This window comes from Homo sapiens, chromosome X (assembly GCF_000001405.40).
Source record: "Homo sapiens chromosome X, GRCh38.p14 Primary Assembly".
In the NCBI taxonomy this organism is placed as follows: Eukaryota; Metazoa; Chordata; class Mammalia; order Primates; family Hominidae; genus Homo; species Homo sapiens.
The window spans coordinates 43,237,169-43,257,842 of NC_000023.11; the positions used below are offsets into that span (position 1 = coordinate 43,237,169).

At 40.5% G+C, this 20,674-nt stretch overlaps 1 annotated feature.

The window, feature by feature from the left end:
• Nucleotides 1,993–2,560: an enhancer, noted in NCBI's record as "NANOG hESC enhancer chrX:43098410-43098977 (GRCh37/hg19 assembly coordinates)". NCBI's record gives its function as "activates a minimal SCP1, AML or CMV promoter by ChIP-STARR-seq in primed H9 embryonic stem cells {active_cell/tissue: H9 hESC(primed)}" and the evidence as "EXISTENCE:reporter gene assay evidence [ECO:0000049][PMID:30033119]".

The following is a 20,674-nucleotide window of genomic DNA, read 5'->3' on the forward strand; positions in this document are numbered from 1 at the left end:
CCTAAAGCTATTTAGGGGCCCTTAGCCACCAATCATCTCATTAGCATACAAAAACACCCATCACTCAGGAAATTCCAAGGGTTTCAGGGGCTCTGTGCCAAGAACCAAGGACAATGACCAAATACTTATTTTTCATTATACTACAATACAATAATACCAGGTAAAATGTTTATGCCCCAGGTAATTGGAATCTCCCCCTTCCCATGGACAAAGCAAACTGAAATGGAGGATATTACCATTTTTGGTCATTAAGGACTTCAGAACCAAATTTGTAGATCACATGGGCTACTTATTTATATTCTAAAGCCTCATCTTCTCCATAAATTTAATAGCTAAACACAAATATAGTCTTATGATAATAGATTTATACAGTGAGAGTTGTAGAGAATTAAATGTGAATGTTCCATTTACTGTGCCCCAACACTCAATATAGTCTTACCTAACTAAAAGTAAGCAAATGTATCATATGGATATATATTTTTTAGTCCTTTTCTATGTATAAATAGAGAATAATATGTATATACTTACATATATGTTTATGAATATGAATAGAATCATGCTATTAACTTTCAAACACATATGTGCATATAGGTATATATATATTTCTGTCTTGAATTTGTTTACATAAAGACATGTTAGATACTATTCCTTGCTAACACATACAGAACTTTCTCAATCTTTTTATTATTACATAGTATGCCAAAGTAAATACTTTTCGTTATTTAATTAACCATTTCTCTAATGATGGGTATTTAGGTTGTCCTTAAGTATTTACTAATACAAATGATTTTATAGTTATGCATGAGGCAGGCATGAAGTTGAACATTTGAAGTTGATATTTGACCTGTTTTCCAGAACTTTTTGAGCATCTTTGAAATGTCTAGAGAATTAGAGTCTCATCTCCATAATTTAGAATTCAGGCAACTCACCTCCACAGGTTCCTTTCAGCTAGGGCACAATCATGTGACTTAGATATACCCCTGCTTAAGTTTGATTGGTGAAGAGCAGCTTCCCTACTTAATCCACTTTCCTGGAGAGGATTATAATGATAGTGGCAAAAGACAGCCAAATGCCTAGGCAGATAGGAGCAAGTCCCTGGTGAAACCTCACCTTCAAGCCAAAAACAGCCTGAAGGCTGAAAGACTAGACTGCTGGTCCCAGATATCAATAGCAGAGTCCTCTGGATGTCAAGGGAGATAGTAGCAGGCAAGTTGAGTTCCTGGTATAGAAGTGAGTTTGGGGCTAACAGCAGCAGCTACTTCAGTCATTTCTAGTAGATAGCAGCTGTTCAATCTGCAGCATCTAGGATTTGGTAGCAGCAGGGGAAACAGCTGTGTTTTTCTCCATTATCGAATTCTGTAGGTTGCTTTCTGGCATTGACCATGGAAACTTAGCCTAAGACACTCTCAATAATTCTATGAGCTATCCAGTACCCTTTTTAAAAAACTCTCTTTTTGCCTAATCAGCCAGTCAGCTTCTGCTATATGCAGCTAAGAATCTGGAAGGATACAGAAATTGGAACCAGAAGTTGATGCAGGCAACAGAACCCCTGGGAAATGGGGAAGTTTTGTGATTGGTTATCTGGCATGGCAGCCATGGAAACATGCTGCTCAGCTCTCTTTCAAGAGAACCTGCTCCATGAGCAGTGAACATAGTGACTGACAGCTTCCAGCTGCTGTTCCTCCTAGCCAATGCCTGAGCATGGCAGAGGTACTAGGGCTAGCTCACTCCTGCCTCAAACTGGGATTCCTCTAAGGAGCAACTTTGGTTTGGGGAGTTCCTTTCAGCCAAGTGGAAACTTTCTCAGAACTGCCCTATGGTCTGAGGCTCTTCTTACCCAATTCTTCCTTCTTTCTCTTTTGCCACACTTGCATCACAGACTGAAGCCTCTCACCTCCTAAAATGCTTCCTCTGCTTTACCCTTCATAGGCATTTCCCCCTATAAATCTCTCACCCCTGATCCCATCTTGGCATCTGCTTCTCAAAAGACCTAACTAAACTAACTGACAGTGGTCAGGAAAAATTCATAAAAATGGGATATGGCCACTGGCTCACTAAGTACCTGTCTGAAAAGCAGGACACCATACTGAGTGCCTCTGTAAGAGCATGAATAGTCCCAGATACAATGTGTCAACCCAACTGTTGGCGATTTCACCTGTAGTGATCTGGGAAAATTTCACAGTGGAGGGGAATGCCCTTGCTGGTTTGGTGATTCAGGCACTTGAAAGAGACAGGTAAAACAATACCTGTAAGGACAGGAGAGTTGGCTTGATAGGATTAAGTTCGATTGACATCCTGCAGAGAGATAATGGAAGTCTGCAGGCTGTTAACAAACAGTTAAAGACTAACTATGAGAGCCGGAGTGCCTCTGTAGTTGCTTGAAATAAACCTTACCTCCTGCAGCGGAAGCGCAGACATAGGTGTTAACAGGAGTGGACACAAGATCTGATTGAGCTGCAGAATTCCAGAGGCATTTAAATGCTGAGCCAAGGCAGGCCTGTTATATGAAGTTCTAGCCCCTGATAGGGACAATCTGGGCCCCTGAAACATGAAATGGAAGCATCAGGATGCTTGCATTTGAGGATTATAGCTCTTCAGACCTCCCTGAACCCTTAGAGCTTCTAGAGATAACCATTTCTTTTTTTTTTTTTTTTTTTTTTGAGATGGAGTCTCGCTGTGTCGCCCAGGCTGGAGTGCAGTGGTGGGATCTCGGCTCACTGCAAGCTCTGCCTCCCGAGTTCACGCCATTCTCCTGCCTCAGCTGGGACTACAAGTGCCTGCCACCATGCCCAGCTAATTTTTTGTATTTTTAGTAGAGATGGGTTTCACCGTGTTAGCCAGGATGGTCTTGATCTCCTGACCTCGTGATCTGGCTGCCTCGGCCTCCCAAAGTGCTGGGATTATGGGCGTGAGCCACCGCACCTGGCCAAGATAACCATTTCTTCTTAAGACTAGCATTTCCCCCACATGGGAAAATGCTGCAGGCTTTTGCCCTGTAAGACAATAGGTGGCACACATCAGGAGCTGCCCCACCTCCTCTCCTGGCTGTTAGGCCTATTACTAAGGTTAAATCTCAGTATAACCTGTATGGAAAAATGCTAGGTCTGATAAGGGAATAAAGAGATTATACACAGTAGGAGCATCAAGAATTACCCAGCATGCACTAGCAGGAGCCAGAGAGTATCTATAGAATAGGATTTTAAGGCGTTTGAAAGAAACTGGAATATATGACTAGGTAAGCAAAAATTAACTCACTTGGGAACACTTTTTCAGGACATGAAATTTAATGACCTGGCAGAGACCCTAAGGGATGGGGCAAATGTACGACAAGTTAGCTTTTAGAAGCCTGGAAGAAGAGATAGTCAACAAGGATCAAGTGAAAACTGCCCTGGCAGACAGTAGAGAAGGGAATGAAGAGACTGAGGGAAGTGAGCACGCTGGAATTAATATGTTACATGAGACCAGAAGATTCATCATAGGCTTATGGTTCATTAGAGGACCCAAAGGGCACCCTCTTCCACCCAGGCCATCAGGAATGTGCTGGTGAGATGGGAACCAGCATCACTGACTTCAATGGTAGTTATCCTCTCCAAGTCGGGGCAGACAGTAGGCAAGGCAGTGACAGAGGTGGGCTCACTGATAATTATGGGAATTATGGTGCCTTGAAGTAATAGAGCATATATATGAATAGAAGAGGGCATAAGTGTAAAGATTTTTGTATCACACCTTAAGGGTCACCAGGAAGCATTTACCACAGAAGTGTGGCTGAAAAATCAAACAGACAAAATGTCTTGGCCAGTTGATGTTAAGCATCCTTCATCAATGGCTATGATGATTCAACAAAAAGGCTCTTCCTGCCTATTCCTGTTTCTGCCCCCATTATCCTTCACAGGAATCCCCCACATCCCATTTCTGACCAAATCTATTGTACATCTAATTCTATCTGCTTGTTGGGACACCTGGTTAGTATTGAAAGATTGGACTTAGTAGTTCATAGTACATAGCAAGCAACAACTTAAATTATCACCTATGATCACTAAAAATAAAGTACCTAGTGAAGGCACAGCTTTGAGGGATATAGTAACTACTTCCAAAAAAATGTGAATAAAGCCAATGAGGAATTCAAGGATTGTAGGAGTGATCTTAAAGTTCTAAATTCTTGGTTTAATGCAAAAACTTAAAATGATAGAATTATTATGACCATGTTAAAGAATCTCTTGTTTGTAGCTGTAGAGAGGAAGTGGCTGAAAACTATAGTCAAAGTTTGGACACATATATTGGGAAATTAATATCATTTAACTCATCACTTCATCAGGTCTCATATATATAAAATAATGATTAGCAAAAAGTGGAATGCCACGATAGGAACACTGTCATATGAGAGGATTCAGAGTACTGAATCTAGCATAGTGCTTCTCCCATATTGTCTTTTGACTTTGCTCATGGTGTATTTTTCCCATGTGAAAAAAGTTTTCAAAGAATGTTTATGAGTTCAAATTTATCAGTCTTTTTAATGGCTGCCTTTGAATTGCGAGTCATAGAACTTCATATACGGGTTATAAAGTAATTCACTCAAGTTTTCTTCTAGTGTGATTTAATTTATTTACTTTTACACTTAAATATCTAATCCATTTGGAATTCATTTTAGTGTATGGTATAAAGTATGAACCCAGTTTTATTTTTTTTCAAATGACTATCCATTTATCTCAACCCAATCTAAGTCCCTCTTCTCCCTAGTGATGCAAGATGCCACCTTTATCATATCCTAAATTGCCATATGTTCTTGGGTATATTTCTGGACTGCTCTGTTCTATTCTTCTGTTCTGCCTGCCTTTTCATGTGCCAGCACTAACAGTTTTAATTATAGAAGAGTTATAATATGTTTTAATAACTGGTAGGATTCGTTCAGCTCTTTGCTCTTCTTTTCCAGGGCTTCCCGAGATTTTGCATGCTATTTTTCCAAACAAATGTTAAGAATCAATTTATCTAGCTCTTTTAAAAAGTAAATATTTTATTTTTATGCACACACACACATACACACACACATAAACAAACATGGAGAAGATTTTATTTCTTTATGATATTGAATCATGCTATCCAAGAAAAAAGGCTTTCTTTGCATTTGTGTGTCTAACTTGCATCTCTTAGTAGTTGTATTAATATTTTCTCATACAGGTTTTATAATTTTTAATTGTGTACTTATAAATATTTTATCATTTTGTTGTTATTGCAAATTGGGTTATCTCTTTCATTGCATCATTTCACTAGTTGCTTTTATATATGAAGGATATTGATTTTTATTTATTAATTTCATATCCTACTAAATTATCAACTTGTTTTACTATTTGTGTTAGTTTTGTTGTTGTCCTCATGGGTTTTCCAGGTAAACTATCTATCATATCATCTACAGATAGTGATAGTGTTCTTTTTTTGATTCAATTTTATACCTCTAGTTTTTCTCTTTTCTGATTTCATTTCTAATAATTACAATAGAATGTAAAATAGCAGAGGAGATAGTAGGCATTAAGGTTTCATTTCTGACCTTTGAGAGAATACCTAATATTTCCTCATTATATAATTTGCTTGCTTGAGAGACACACACACACATACACACACACACACACATATATTTAAGGCTAAAATACTAAGCAATAAAAACAAAAAATGCATATGGATGAATTTGAATCTATAAGATGAACAGCATCATAATTTAAAAGGAAGCAGACTGAAGGAATTAATATAGATAAAAGGGTATACGATTGAGGTAGAAAACAGAAAAAAATTAGAAATAATAAATAAACCAAAATTCTGGTCCTGCAAAATTCAATAAAATAGACAAACCACTAACTAACCTAGCTAAGAAAAAAAGTGGGAAATCTCAAATATAGAAAATAAAAATTGACAAGGAGGAAATAAAAATGAGATGGAGAAAAATTTTTGACCATGAGACTGCTTTTCAACATTTTATGCATAGAAACTTGAAAACCTAGATGAAATAGCTTATATATTCTAGGAAAATACAATCTACCCAAATTAACTTTATTACAAATAGAACATTTAAACAGAGAAATTTCTTGGTTTAGTAGAGAGTAGATGAATAAGCTTCACAAAGTAGATTGTTGATGTTTTGATGGTGATGCAAGTTTGTTTTTATCCCTCAAAGATCTGCTGCTCTGGTAGCACCAATAAGTATATACCATCTTTTTTTTTTTTTTGAGACAGAGTCTCACTCTGTCACCAGGCTGGAGTGCAATGGCGCGATCTCTGCTCACTGCAACCTCTGCCTCCCGGGTTCAAGCGATTCTCCTGCCTCAGCCTCCCGAGTAGTTGGGACTACAGGCATGCGCCACCATGCCCAGCTAATTTTTGTATTTTTAGTAGAGACGGGTTTCACTATGTTGGCCAGGATGGTCTCAATCTCTTTACCTCGTGATCCACCCACCTCGGCCTCCCAAAGTGCTGGGATTACAGGCATGAGCCACCACGCCCGGCCACATATACCATCTTGAATCCTGTTCTCAACTTCTTAGAAAGGAAAAGATTGGAAGGTTTCCCCCCCTTGTGGTTTCCATATCCTTTTTAATATTTCCCACGATTTCTCCCCCTTCCAATCACTCATGCCACCACCAACACATCTATCCAACCCATCCTAGTATCGGCTACCACCTTTTCTGTCACTTATCTATTAATTTGACAAATATTTACTGAGGTTCTGAGATGTATGATGAGACTGGGTGTAGGAAGACACAAAAGACATGGTACTCATTTCAAGTCGTGTTCCCCCCCAAAAAGCTCTGGCATGGAGATTAGCATGTAGAAATTGTACTAGGGAGTAATCTTGAGATGAGTGTCTGTGAAAGAAGAGAACAAAGCAGGATTGGGCAGAGGGTAATGTTAGGCTGTGACATAGTAACAAGAAAGACCTCAGCCAAATTGATGCTGAGCTCTGAGGCTGTAATTGTCATATAAAATTGTCTCCAGTATAGAGTTGTCCCCAGTTGAAGTGATGAGGCTGGACTCTTATATTCCCAAATCAACCAGTCATTGGATGCAGGCTTCCCCCAGAAGGATGTGATCTTGGGTGAGGTATCTTTCTCCAGCCAAAGGCAATTCTCGGAAAGAGGGCTGACAGCTGAGGGTTGAGTGCCTGCAGCACTTCCAACATGAGGGGAAATAGGTCCTTCAGTCCTGAAGGAGGACCTGGTCAGTATATTATAGGATCCACTACAGTCCCTTTCCTAAAGTAGTCACTGTCTGGGTCAGGGAGGTGGTGGTGGCGTAGACAAACAAATGGATGACAACTCTTCACTGTTGTCCAGTCTAATTTGGTCAGTACCTACTGAGCTCTTTGCTCACCACACTTCTGACATCAAATGTGTGGGGTTTTTCCACACCAACAACCAGTTCTCAACTCTTTGGACACCAGCTGGGCATCCTATAATTGAATTAAATTCTAACACTAACTACTCATGGTATCAGACTCAAAGTTCTAAGGCCTCAGTCCCACAGAATTACCCTCACTTTAGATGCCAGTAGCAAGTATTGGAGGCCAAGGTACCCATACTTCCGCCCACTTTGGCTATAAAATTGGAGGTTCCCACACTTCCCCCTTTTATATTTGATAATTTGGTAGAATAACAGAAATCTGCAAGACATTTTACTCTCACTGGTTTATTAAAAACAATACAAATGAACAGCCAGATGAAGAGGTATACATAAGGCAAGGTCCAGACATGTCTTAAGCCCAGCTTTGTCTCTGTGGATTTTGGGTGCACTAATCCTGGCACGTGAATATGTTTGCCAGTTCCAAAGATCTCCAAACCCTGTTGTTGAGGGAATTTGTGGAGGTCTCATCACATAGGCATGATTGATTAAATCACTGGCCAATCTTCAGGCCCTCTCGCCTCTCCAGAAGTAGGGAGTGGGACTGAAAGTTCCAATCCTCTAATCAGGTGGTTGGTTCCTTTCGTGACCAGTCTCCATCCTGAAGCTATCTAGGGCTCACCAGGAGTCACATTATTAGCAAAAACTCAGGTATGGTTGAAAGGGACTTGTAGTGAATAATAAGACACCCCTATCACTCAGAAAATTACAAGAATTTTAGGAGCTCTGTGTCAGGAACCAGGGACAAAGGCCACATATGTATTTCTTATTATGCTACACTTATCTCTCAGCCTTCAAACCTACCCTCTTCACTACATTGTAAACACACTGGCCTTCCCTCTGTTTCTGTAATAAGCCAAGCTTTTTCTCCACTACAGCCTTTTCTTTTCTTTTTTTTTTTTTGACAGGGTCTTGGTCTGTCACTCAGACTGGAGTACAGTGGCGCGATCTCGGCTCACTGCAACCTCAGCCTCCCAGGTTCAAGCGATCCTCCCACCTCAGCCTCTGGAGTAGCTGGAACTACAGGCATGTGCTACCATGCCAGGCTAATTTTTTTTTTTTTTTTTTGTATTTTTTTGTAGCGTCGGGGTTTCACCCTGTTACCCAGGCTGGTCTTGAACTCCTGGGATCAAGCAATCCTCCCTCCTCAACCTCCCAAAGTGCTGGGATTACAGGCGTGAGCCACCACACCCAGACACCTACTGTTGATATTCTTAATATTTCGGAAGCTGAAATCTATGCATTTTTACATGGGTAAATGGAGTTCTCACATTTAGCTGACAATTTTTTTTTTTTTTTTTTTTTTTTTTTTTTGTGACAGAGTCTTGCTCTGTCTCCCAGGTTGCGTTGCAGTGACGCGATCTCAGCTCACTGCAAACTTTGTCTCCCAGGTTCAAGTGATTCTCCTGCCTCAGCCTCCCAAGTAGCTGGGACTATATGCACCCAGCAGCATGCCTGGCTAATTTTTGTATTTTTAGTAGAGACAGGGTTTCACCATGTTAGCCAGGCTGGTCTCGAACTCCTGACCTCAAGTGACCCGCCTGCTTCAGCCTCCCAAAGTGCTGGGATTACAGGCATGAGCCACCTCACCTGGCCTGATTTGTTTTTCTATTTGTCTGTAGGGGTGGCATTCTGGTTCTTCAGAGCTAGCTTGTTCTCAATATTCAGTTTGAATCCAGTTTGAATGATGAGAAGATGAACAAATGTCAGCTTCTTAATAAGGTGTTTCCCTAACCACCTACTTCTTTGCCCTGCAACAATAATGAGAAAAACAGCTAACACTTTCTGGAAACTATGTGCCAAGCATTCCTCAAATCAGTTGAAACAATCCAAATTAACTAATTTAGTCCTTACAACAACTTTGTAAAGTAGCTACCGTATTCGTATTTTATAGATAAGTAAACTATAAAATGAGGCACAAGGGTTTTAATTTGTCTCAGGTCTTAGCAAGTAATGGTAGTGCCAGGTCTGGACCTCAAGCAGTCAGCCTCCAGAATCCATGCCCTTAAGCATGACATTATGCTGCCTCTCCTAGCCACTAACATTTAAAATTTTTAAAATTTTCATTAATAGCATTAATCCTTCTCACTAATTATCTTGCTTCTATGTTTATATGTTTTTTCTGACTTCCCCAACTATCAAGTAATTATGTCGGCCTGGCGCGGTGACTCACGCCTGTAATCCCAGCACTTTGGGAGGTCAAGGCGGGCGGATCACAAGGTCAGGAGTTTGAGACCAGCCTAGCCAATATGGTGAAACCCCGTCTCTACTAAAAATACAAAAATTAGCCAGGAATGGTGATGTGCACCTGTAGTCCCAGCTACTCGGGAGGCTGAGGCAGAAGAAACGCTTGAACCCGGGAGGCGGAGGTTGCAGTGAGCCAACACCGTGCCATTGCACTCCAGCCTGGGTGACAGAGCAAGACTCCATCTCAAAAACAAAACAACAAAACAAATTCATGATGTCAGCGACTTCCTCCATCCTGTTTATTGCCCGGTGTCATGCCCCTTTTCCTGAGGAGCAGCCACATCTAAGGACTAGTTATTGCACAGGAACTGTGGTGCAGCTCCCTTGCTCCAATTCAGGACAACTCCGAAGGGCCATCTCAGCCTGAATCTCCCTATGGGGTCACCTGCAGCCTTTGTTGTGACTGCATTACAATTCAACTTCTCCCTCTGCCAAACCTGATTCTTCATTCCCCTACTGATGCTGAGCTCTAGAGTACTCCCCAATAAACTTTCAGAATACACATCTCCATCTCAGAATCTGTTTCCTGGGAAAACCCAGCCACCTAGATATTAGAATTCCCTAAGGATCTTTTAAAAATTTCCCAAGCCCATGACCCACACCAAACCAATTAAATCAGAATATCTGAGGGTGAGTCCTAGATATTTGTAATTTTGAAACTTCCGAGATAATTCTAATGTGCAAAAAGGATGGAGAATGTATCATATACAAAAGCTGCAGAATCATACACAAAAGCTGCAGAAGCAATAAGGGTCTATATTGACTTCCTTGACCAACTCAAAATAAATAGAAATAGAATAAATGGAATAAAATTATTTGTTCTAACCACATAGTGATGGTAAGAGGGGTGTGAGAACTGAGGATCTGCTCAGAGCACATAACAGAAATCTCTCTCAATCTGTGTATAACCTCTACCTATAAATATGGGTGAGCAGCATCGTATGTGTGCTAAAGCAGGGACCAAGTGAATCGAAGGGCTCTGACTTCCAAACTCATCATTACCATTAGAGCTGGAACATCCATCTCTAATTTGACTCCAGCAGATAATGCAGAACCTGGCCTTTCCTAGCCCAGTTTTTAACTGGAAGAAGAGGCCATTCTGCAGTTCACTAACAGGCTCTTTTTCCATTTTCCTCTTCACTAGACTTTTGAGGCACTGAGGGAGCAATACAAACAACATATTTGTCAGTAGTTAATATACTGTAAACCATTCCAAGATGATTGTCACTTGTAAGCAAATTCCGTACTTGAATTAGAGATGTCTGGCACTTTGTTATGCACAAGGAAGAGAAGCATGAAGGAAGGAAGTGCCACTTAGACAATGCTATTTCATTTGGAGTAGATACCATTTCACATGAAAGTCAACTTCCCTCAGTACTAAGTATATGTGAGGAGGGGGGGATTGAGGAGGGGTTAAAGCATACCTGCATGTATCAAAGAGTAGAGGCTAGGTTATGCTATAGTGACAGACACCCTCCAAAATCTCAATGGCTTAAAACAACAAAAGTTCTTGTTCCCATTGCATGTTTGCTGTAGGTCAGCAGAAGGTTCACATCTATGCCATCCTCAGTAATCCAGTTCTGAGGGAGGCTCCACCTCTGTTCTCACACAATTGCTGAGGGAGAAACAGAGAATGTGGTGAACTGTGTACTAGTTCTTAAAGGTTTGACCCAGAAGTGACACACATTTCTTCTGCTCATATTTCATTGGCCAGAGCAACTCACATGTATCCACCTAACTACAAAGGGTCAGGGAAATTCAATTCTGTGATATACCCAAGAGAACTGGGAGTGTTTGGTAGCTGGATGACATGGTTTTGATATGTGTGCCCACCCAAATCTCATGTTGAATTGTAATCCCCAATGTTGGAGGAGTGGCCTGGTGGGAGGTAATTGGATTATGGGCAGATTTCCTTGCTGTTTTCATGATAGTGAGTCAGTTCTCATGATATCTGGTTGTTTAAAAGTGTGTGGCACCTCCCCCTTTTCCCTCTTCCTCCTGCTCCAGCCGTGTAGAATATGCCTGCTTCCCCTTCACCTTCTGACATGATTGTAAGTTTTCTGAGGCCTCTCCATCCATGCTTCCTGTAGAGCTTGTGGAACCATGAGCTACTTCAACCTCTTCTTTATAAATTACCCAGTCTCAGGTATTTCTTTATAGCAGTGTGAGAATGGACTAATACCGAAAATTGGTACCTGGAGTGGGGAATTGCTATAAAGGTATCTGAAAATGAGAAAGTGACTTTGGAACTGGGTAACAGGCAGAGGTTGGAACAGTTTGGAGGGCTCAGAAGAATACAGGAAGATGAAGGAAAGTGTGGTACTTCCCAGAGACTTGTTAAATTGTTATGACTGAAATGCTGATAGTGATATGGACAATAAAGTCCAGGCTGAGGTGGTCTCAGATGGAGATGAGAAACTTTTTGGGAACTGGAGAAAAGGTGACTTTTGTTATGCATTAGCAAAGAGATTGGAGGTATTGTGCCCCTGCTCTAAAGATCTGTGGAACTTTGAACTTAAGGGGGATGATTTAGGGTATCTGGTGGAAGAAATTTCTAAGAAGCAAAGCATTCAAGAACTGATCTGGCTGCTTCTAGCAGCATATGCTTATATGTGTGAGCAAAGAGATGATCTGAAACTAAAACTTATATTTTAAAGGGAAGCAGAGCATAAAAGTTTGGAAAATTTGCAACCTGGCCATGTGGTAGAAAGGAAAAACCCATTTTCAGGAAAGGAATTCAAGCCGACTGCAGAAATTTGCAAAAGTAAAAAGGAGCCAAGGGCAAATACTCAAAGGTATTTCAGAAAACTTTGCAGCAGCCTCTCCCATCACAGGCCTGGAGGCCTAGTGGGGAATAATGATTTTGTGGACCAGGCCCAGGGCCCTGCTACCCTGCACAATATAGAGAGTTAAACCAACAGCACTAGACTAAGAAGAAGTTTGGTTCCTATTTTTTGTTTTATTCATAACTAGTTTGACAACATCATTTCTCCACTTTAAAGTATAATAAAAGGCTTAAACTAAATCAGTGTCCACTAAATACCCAAATGCTTGTTCATGATAAGGCATTCATTAGGACCCAGAGAACTAAAAATTTAAATTAAATTAAATTTAAAAGGGAAATGTAGCAATTCTATGTGTATTGTTAGTTCTCACTTCATCAGTATCACACCTTACTTTACTCATAAGAAAATGTCAGTAATAACACATACTATTATTTAAGACCTTTAGTCATAGCAATAGTCAAATGTATACAGGGCTTTCTAGGTGCCAAAAACTGTTCCAAGTACTTAATATAATTAACTCATTTAATCCTTATGAAGTAGGTACTGTTATTATCCCTATTTTATAGATAAGGTATAGATAAATTAAATCCCTTCTCAGGTCACACTGGAAAGTAAAGAGTAGAATCTGAATTCAAATCCAGGCAGTGTGGCTTTAGAATCCTCACTCTTTATCACTAAGTCATACTAAACTAGCTTGGCAAAATCAAGTTTGGTAACTGTATTAGTCCATTTGTGTTGCTGCAAAGAAATACTTGAGGCTAGGTAATTTATGAAGAAAATAGTTTTAATTGGCTTGTGGTTCTGCAGGCTGTACAAGAAGCATGATGCTGACATCTGCTTCTGGTGAGGGCTTCAGAAAGCTTACAATCACAGCAAAAGGTAAAGGAGGAACAGGCATCTCACATGGCAAGAGCAGGAGCAAGAGAGAGAGGTAGGAGGTGCCACACACTTTTAAACAACCAGATCTCACGAGAACTCACTCACTATCATGAGAACAGCAACAAGATATTCATGATAGATTTGCCCCCATGACCCAAACACCTCTCACTAGGCACCACCTCCACCATCAGGGATTACATTTCAATATGAGATTTATAGGGGAGAAACATCCAAACTATATCATTCTGCCCCTGGCCCCTCAAATCTCAAGTCCTTCTCATTTTGCAAAATATATTAATCTCTTCCCCCCAAATCTTAACTTGCTCCAAAATCAAGTTCAAAGTCTTAAGTCTCATCCGAGACTCATATCCTTCTGCCTATGAGCCTGTAAAACCAAAACAAGTTATTTAATCCCAAGATACAATGGTAGTACAGGCATTGGGTAAACATTACCATACTGAAAGGGAGAAATGAGCCAAAAGAAAGGAGCAATAGGCCCCACACAAGTCTGAAACCTAGCAGGGCAGCCATTAAATCTTGAAGCTCCAAAATAATCTTCTCTGACTCCATGTCCCACATCTAAGGCACACTGGTGCAAGGGGTAGACTCCCAAAGGCCTTGGGCAGCTCTGTCTCCTGTGGCTTTGCAGGGTGCATCCCACTTGGCTGCTCACATAGGTTGGAGTTTAATGCCTTCAGCTTTTCTAGATGCAGCATAGAAGCTGCCGGTGGAGCTACCTTTCTGGGCTCTAGAGGTTGGTGGCCCCCTTCCCATAGCTCCACTAGGCAGTGCCCTAGTGAGAACTCTGTTTGAGGCTTCCAGCCTCACATTTCCCCTTGGCATTGCCCCAGCAGAGGTTTTCTTTGAGGGTTCTGCCCCTGTGGCAGGCTTCTGCCTGGGCACCTAGGCTTTCTCATATATATCCTCTGAAATCTAAGTGGAGGCCACCAAGCCTCATTCATGCTTGCATTCTATGCACAGGCTTAACACCATGTGGAAGCCAAGGCTTACAGCTTGCACCTTTCAGAATAGTGGCCCAAGCTGTACCTGGGGCCCTGTGAGCCACGGCCACAGCAGCCAGGATGTGGGAAGCAGTGTCCCAAGGCTGGATAGGGCATCCTGGTCCTAGCCTTGAAACCATTCTTTCCTCCTAGGCCTCTGGGTCTGTGATGAGAGGTGCTGCATCTGAGATCTCTGAAATGCCTTCAAGGCCTTTTTCCCATACTCTTGGATACTAGTACTTTGCTCCCTTTTTGTCATGCTAATCTCTCTAGCAAGTGGTTGCTCCACAGCCTGCTTGGATACTTTGTCTACCACAGAGCCAGGCTACAAATTTTCCAAACGTTTGTGCTTTGCTTTCCTTTTAAAAATAAATTCCAACTTTAAGTCATTCCTTTGCTCCTACATCTGATCATATGTTTTTAGCCAGGCCACATCTGAAATGCTTTGCTGCTTAGAAATTTCTTCTGCCAGATACCCTAAATCATCACTCTTAAGTTCAGACTTCCAAAGATCCTTAGGACATGAACACAGTGCCACCAAGTTCTTTGCTAGAGTGTAACACAGGTGACCTTTGTTCCAGTTCTCAATAAACTCCTCATTTTCACTTGAGATCTCATCAGCCTGGTTTTCACTATCCATAATTCTATCAGTATTTTGGTCACAATCATTTAACCAGTCTTTAAAAAGTTATAAACTTTCCCTCATCTTCCTGTCTTCTGAGCCCTCCAAACTCTTCCAACCACTTCCCATTACCCAGTTCCAAAGTCACTTACATATTTTCAGGTATCTTTATAGCAATGCCCCACTCCTCGGTCCCAATTTTCTGTATGAGTTCATTTGCGTTGATATAAAAAAATACCTGAGGCTAGGTAATACATTAAAAAGAGGTTTAATTGGCTCATGGTTCTGCAGACAGTACAAGAAGCATGGTGCCAGCATCTGCTTCTGGTAAGGGCCTCAGAAAGCTTGCAATTATGGTGAAAGTCAAAGGGGAAGCTGGAATCTCACATGTTGAGAGTGGGAGCAAGAGAGAGAGTGGGGAGGTGTCACACACTTTTAAGCAACCAGATATCGAGAGAACTCACTTGCTGTCTTGTGGACAGCACCAAGCCATTCATGAAGGATCTACCCCCACGACCCAAACACCTCCCACCAGGCCCCACCTCCAATATTAGGGATTGCATTTCAAAATGAGATTTGGAGAGGACAAACATCCAAACTATATCAGTAACCAAGTATTATGTACCAATTCTGGGTTTTATTGTGTTTTTTTTTATTCTTAGTTCTTTTAAAGTTCTACTTTAAGACATTAAGAAACATATTGAGAAGTTAGTATGTCCCACAGAATCACTGGGTTACACTATGTATTATATTAAGACAGACTTGCAAATTTTGATATATCATGCACCCATATTTTAAAGCTTCTTACATATTATGAAAATCAATTTAACTCTAAATTTTTATAATATTCATTGTATTGCAATGGTAAGAGAAATAAGCAAAGATAGCTGTAATTTTTCATATATTTGGGAGGAGAAAATTCCAGTGGAATAAGTAAATATTTGGTTCCATTCTCTTTAAGTTAGACTTAAATTATCTGCACTTTCCTTTTTCCTATATTGTAGCATTTTATTTTGTCTCCTGATATGATTGTGTGCATCTTTCTCAACAGACAGATTTTTGGATACAAAGACTGTTTTATATTTTTGGCTGTGCCTCCAAATGAACCTTACATGGTGCCTTGCCCATTCTAGGTACCCAATTCAAATTTGCTTGGCTGATTAAATAAATATTTGTCTCTTTTGAGATGACTTCAGCACAAGTTGGGGAAAACAGGATGGAGTCTGGATGTTCTCTTTCTAAGCAAAACAGTTTAACTCTTAGCAATGATAGTAAATAACCATAAACATTTTAGAACCCAAGGGGGCAGCTAACATAGCCTGAACTTTGGGGAAGTAAACTAGGTTTCTGACCTCTCAAGTGTCAGCCCTGGGGAATGGATATTAGACAAGGAACTCTGCAAAGTTGGCAGAAGACTGTCCAGGTGCAGCATAAATTGATGGAGCCAAGGCATAGCACCTGAACCCACCAGCAATGATCCAGCCAGTAGAGACAGAGCATCTAGCAGGTTGGAAGAACAAAACTTCTTAGTATGTAAACTGCTGTCAATTGAAGACAAGGCTTCTGTCCTGCTTTCTCTACAAGCACAAAAATATACCTGTCTCAGTAAGAGGATATATAGGAATAACTTCTTATAGAATTTGGGCTTTGGTTGGATGATTTGGAGGAGGGTCTAAGAAAGCAAGAATTCACTCTATATTGGATACTGCAAGAAAGTGAGGGCAATTCTATGATTAGGTGTTTCATGGGTGGCACAGTGACCTTGATTTTGTCTGTGCTTAGACAAAATTATGAACATGGCCTTGTTTTGTTTCATTTTATCATTGTCTCAGAGTAACCTTGTCTGTGGTTGGTGTTCCGTGAGATTGTATGTCTCCAAAGAAAGAACAAAATAGCCTTGCCTTGAATATCAGAATAACTTATAAATAATATTGAGGTCTAGCTGCGAATGTCAGATCAATTCTGAATGTGAGAGCCTGCTTTTTTCTTTCTCACTCATTATGGTAGTAGGCCTGAAAGCAAAGCTGGTGACAAGTTGGTACTCATAACTGAGTTAAGATGTAAGAGACTGAGGAAGAAGGAGGTTTCTGACACTACACCCTAAGCATAAGTTGCTTCTGCATACATTAGGTGTTTCTGGAATTTCTGGGAATATCCATCCTTTAATAAAACCAGGGCAACAGCTGAAAAGCCCCAAATCCCTGTCAATTTAGCTGTAGATAAAGCTGACAAGAAGCAAGAAGCACCCTGTTATAGACTGATTTTTGTTCCCCCAAAATTTATATGATGAAGCCCTAACCCCTAGTGTGGTAGTATTTGGAGGTGAAGCCATTAGGAGGTAACTAAAGTGAGATGACATCATGAGTGTGGAGCCCTCATAATGGGATTAGTGCCCTTATAAGAAGGGACACTAGAGAGCTTGCTCTTTCTCTCTCTCAGAAGTCATGTGAACACACAAGATGGCAGCCATCTACCAACCAGGAGGAGAACGCTTACCAGAACCCAATCATACTGGCACTGATCTCAGACCTTCTGCTTCCAGAACTGTGAGAAAATAAATGGGCCGGGTGTGGTGGCTCATGCCTATAATCCCAGCACTTCGGGAGGCCAAGGCGGGCAGATCACTTAAGGTCAGGAGTTCAAGACCAGCCTGGCCAACATGGGAAAACCCTGTTTCTACTAAAAATACCAAAAAAAAAAATTAGCCAGGCGTGGTGGCGGGCACCTGTAATCCCAGCTACTCAGGCGGCCGAGGCAGGAGAATCACTTGAACCTGGGAGGCAGAGGTTGCAGTAAGCCAAGATCATGCCACTGCACTCCAGCCTGGGCAACAGAGCGAGACTCCATCTCAAAAAAAAAGGAAGAAAGAAAAAGAAAATAAGTGTTTATTGTTTAAGCTACCTATCTGTAGTATTTTGTTATGGCAGCTGTGGCTAAGACACATCTGTAGGTGTTACATTATTTAATTATGTGGGGTAATTCTATTTTGTCCCTGAGTGAACCACCAGGCCCAGGTGCGGGAGTTTGTAACTTTACCTCATCAGAACTGAGAGTTAAGCTGCTTATGAAATGGTAATCAGTGTTACAATATAAACCTAAATTTTAAAAATAGGATGGTCTTGAAAGTATCTGAATTGACTTTCTGTCTCTCTTCATAGTTCGAAAAACGGAGTCTGAGCTGCAACAGACTCAATATTTTGCTAGATTTTACAGCAATTTCCCAGGTGAGTTGGGTGCCTGCGAAGCACTGTTTTCATATAAGACTTCACTGGGATCAGGAGAGACATTTTCTTTACCCACATTCATCCCTCATCTTGTTTAAACACAAAATAACATCAAATGGCTGAGTTTAAAACATCCCATTTTGCTCTAAAACACGAAACAAAATCTGTTTATTCTTGGCTTCTCAGGCAAAGTGAGCTTTCTGTATTTCCTGACTTCATATTAGTCGGAAGTGCTACTCCCATTTATCTACCATCTTAAGGATATGCAAAAGAAATGGGCAGCCCTGGTAACCTGAAAGAAGGGGCAACAGAGGACATCTTTCATTCTTAATCTTGGTAAACAGGATCTTCTAGAACTGCATGGTGCAATTACGGTGCAAGAAGACTATTTCTGCTTCTTGACTAAACTTTGGTTTCCTAGCACCTTCCCTGGCCCCTTCTCTTTCATTGGCCTCCAATCTGATCATATTCTTGACTGAGCTCAGCAGGTGGCAGCTTACTAATGGTGCCTATGTGCCCACACTCCTCCCCTCCTGCTTCAACACACACATGCCACACAAAGGGTCATGCTCACACATCAGTAAAAAAATGCCCTCATCCCTTTTCTCTGCTAAATTTAGTAAATGGGGCTTTGACTCCCCTGCTAGAACCAGTTGGTAAACTCCAATTTTTCACCCTCAACTGCCCTCCCCACAGTCATGAGTTGTGACACTCACTTTCACAGAATTGCTTGTCTTTTAATTACATATATGTCAAAAATAAATGTAATAACAGAATTACAGTCTATTAGAGAAATAATCTTGTATGACCACTATAATGTACCTCAATTTCCTAGCAGAGTCCTTGTCATATAGAAGGTACACAATAATTATTGCTTGTATGAATGAACCCATGAGTTTTATAACTGAAGCAACTGAGGTTCACTGATATATCAAGTTTCTTACTCTGGCAAGTTAGTGTAGAACCTGTATTTTAAACTCACAGAAACATTTGTAGTGTTCAGTGAAGGGTCACAAATCATTGAGAGAGAAATATAAAACATTTTTGTTTTTTCAATTACTGTTTCCAACGGTGCTCTAAATCTCTTCTTTCTTAGTGAGGAGTTTAATAATATCTTAATTTTATGCCTTTCCAGCCGCTTTCAGTTATCCATTCAAGTTTCCATTATTCAACCCTGTTCATTTTACAAAGTCAATGCCATATTCAGTCCAAAGCTTTTTTCTTCTCCAGAGGAAAAGATAAATTTGTGTCACTATCAGCTTGCATGAAGGGGATTCTAAGGGTCTGAGAGTGAAGGTGAAGCACCAGATCCACTCTTATAACCACCTTCCACTTCATCTTCTTTGCAATAGCTTGTACATAGAAGAGTGAGGAAAGCCTAATGTGCCATTACATAATGGTCCATGGTGGGGTTGATTTCCTTTCCTTGCTTAGTTCTAATTGCCACTGTGACTTCTTGGCTTCGGATTCTGTGGGCAGGTGGTAGCTCTCATAAGCCACACTGATGAAGACTCTCCTTATGCTGCTGCCCTAGGCATTGGTCAGCTGCTTCCCCCCACATTCTGCTAAAGTTTGTGACTCTGCCACATGCAGTGACAGACCCCAAAAATGTTATAGTCTTTAATTTCTTCAGTGGCTCCAAAATCTAGGGCCTTTGAAAAGAAGAAGAAGAAATGACTCTGATCACAAACACAACAATCTTCCTAAAGAAGACTCTTTCTTTAGGACTTCTTATTTGAGTTTATTGGGGAGAAGAATGGCCATTTCTGCCCAATAGTACATCTCAGCAAGCCATAGAGGGAGGTGGCAACCTCTAACATCAAGTCAGGATAGTTTTCTGTTAGGTGCCTTGAATACACACACATGAACATATATATATACACACACACACATACACATACACATAATGCAAATGTATCATGCATAGATATGTTATGGTATATGTGTATATATGTATATATTCACACATTCATCTTATATATACACACACGTGTGTGTGTGCACGTCTACATATGTATTCAGTGAGTTGGGATGAGGAACGGAGAACCATCAACTGGGTTGTGTGTATAATGTAGATTCATGGATCCCCTTTCTCCTGTTTTTCCTATTTATTTAGTGTGGCTTAATTTTCTTTAAGTAAGAAGGTTCTGATATTAAGCTTAATCAAAAGAAATTGTCAAATGGAATCTTTTTAATAAGGAAAGAATTTGAGAGTATTAAAAGAGGAAGACAAAGTGAAAAACTCTATATATAGAAACAAAAGATGACGAATTGTAACAATGAAGGAAAATAAACATAGATAGACCCGAGTGGGATGAATGGTATGAATGAGCTAATAGTGAGAGGGGCTGGATATACTAGGACTTTATGCTTATAAACCTTCTGTACTAGATCCTAGAACCTATGAAAGACAGAGGAAAATTAGTATTTAAATTCAATATTATTCCTATCTCACCATAATGGCAAAAATTAAGAACTGTAATAAAACAACAGAAGGTGGATGATGTAGATCAAAGAGAGCTCTTATATATT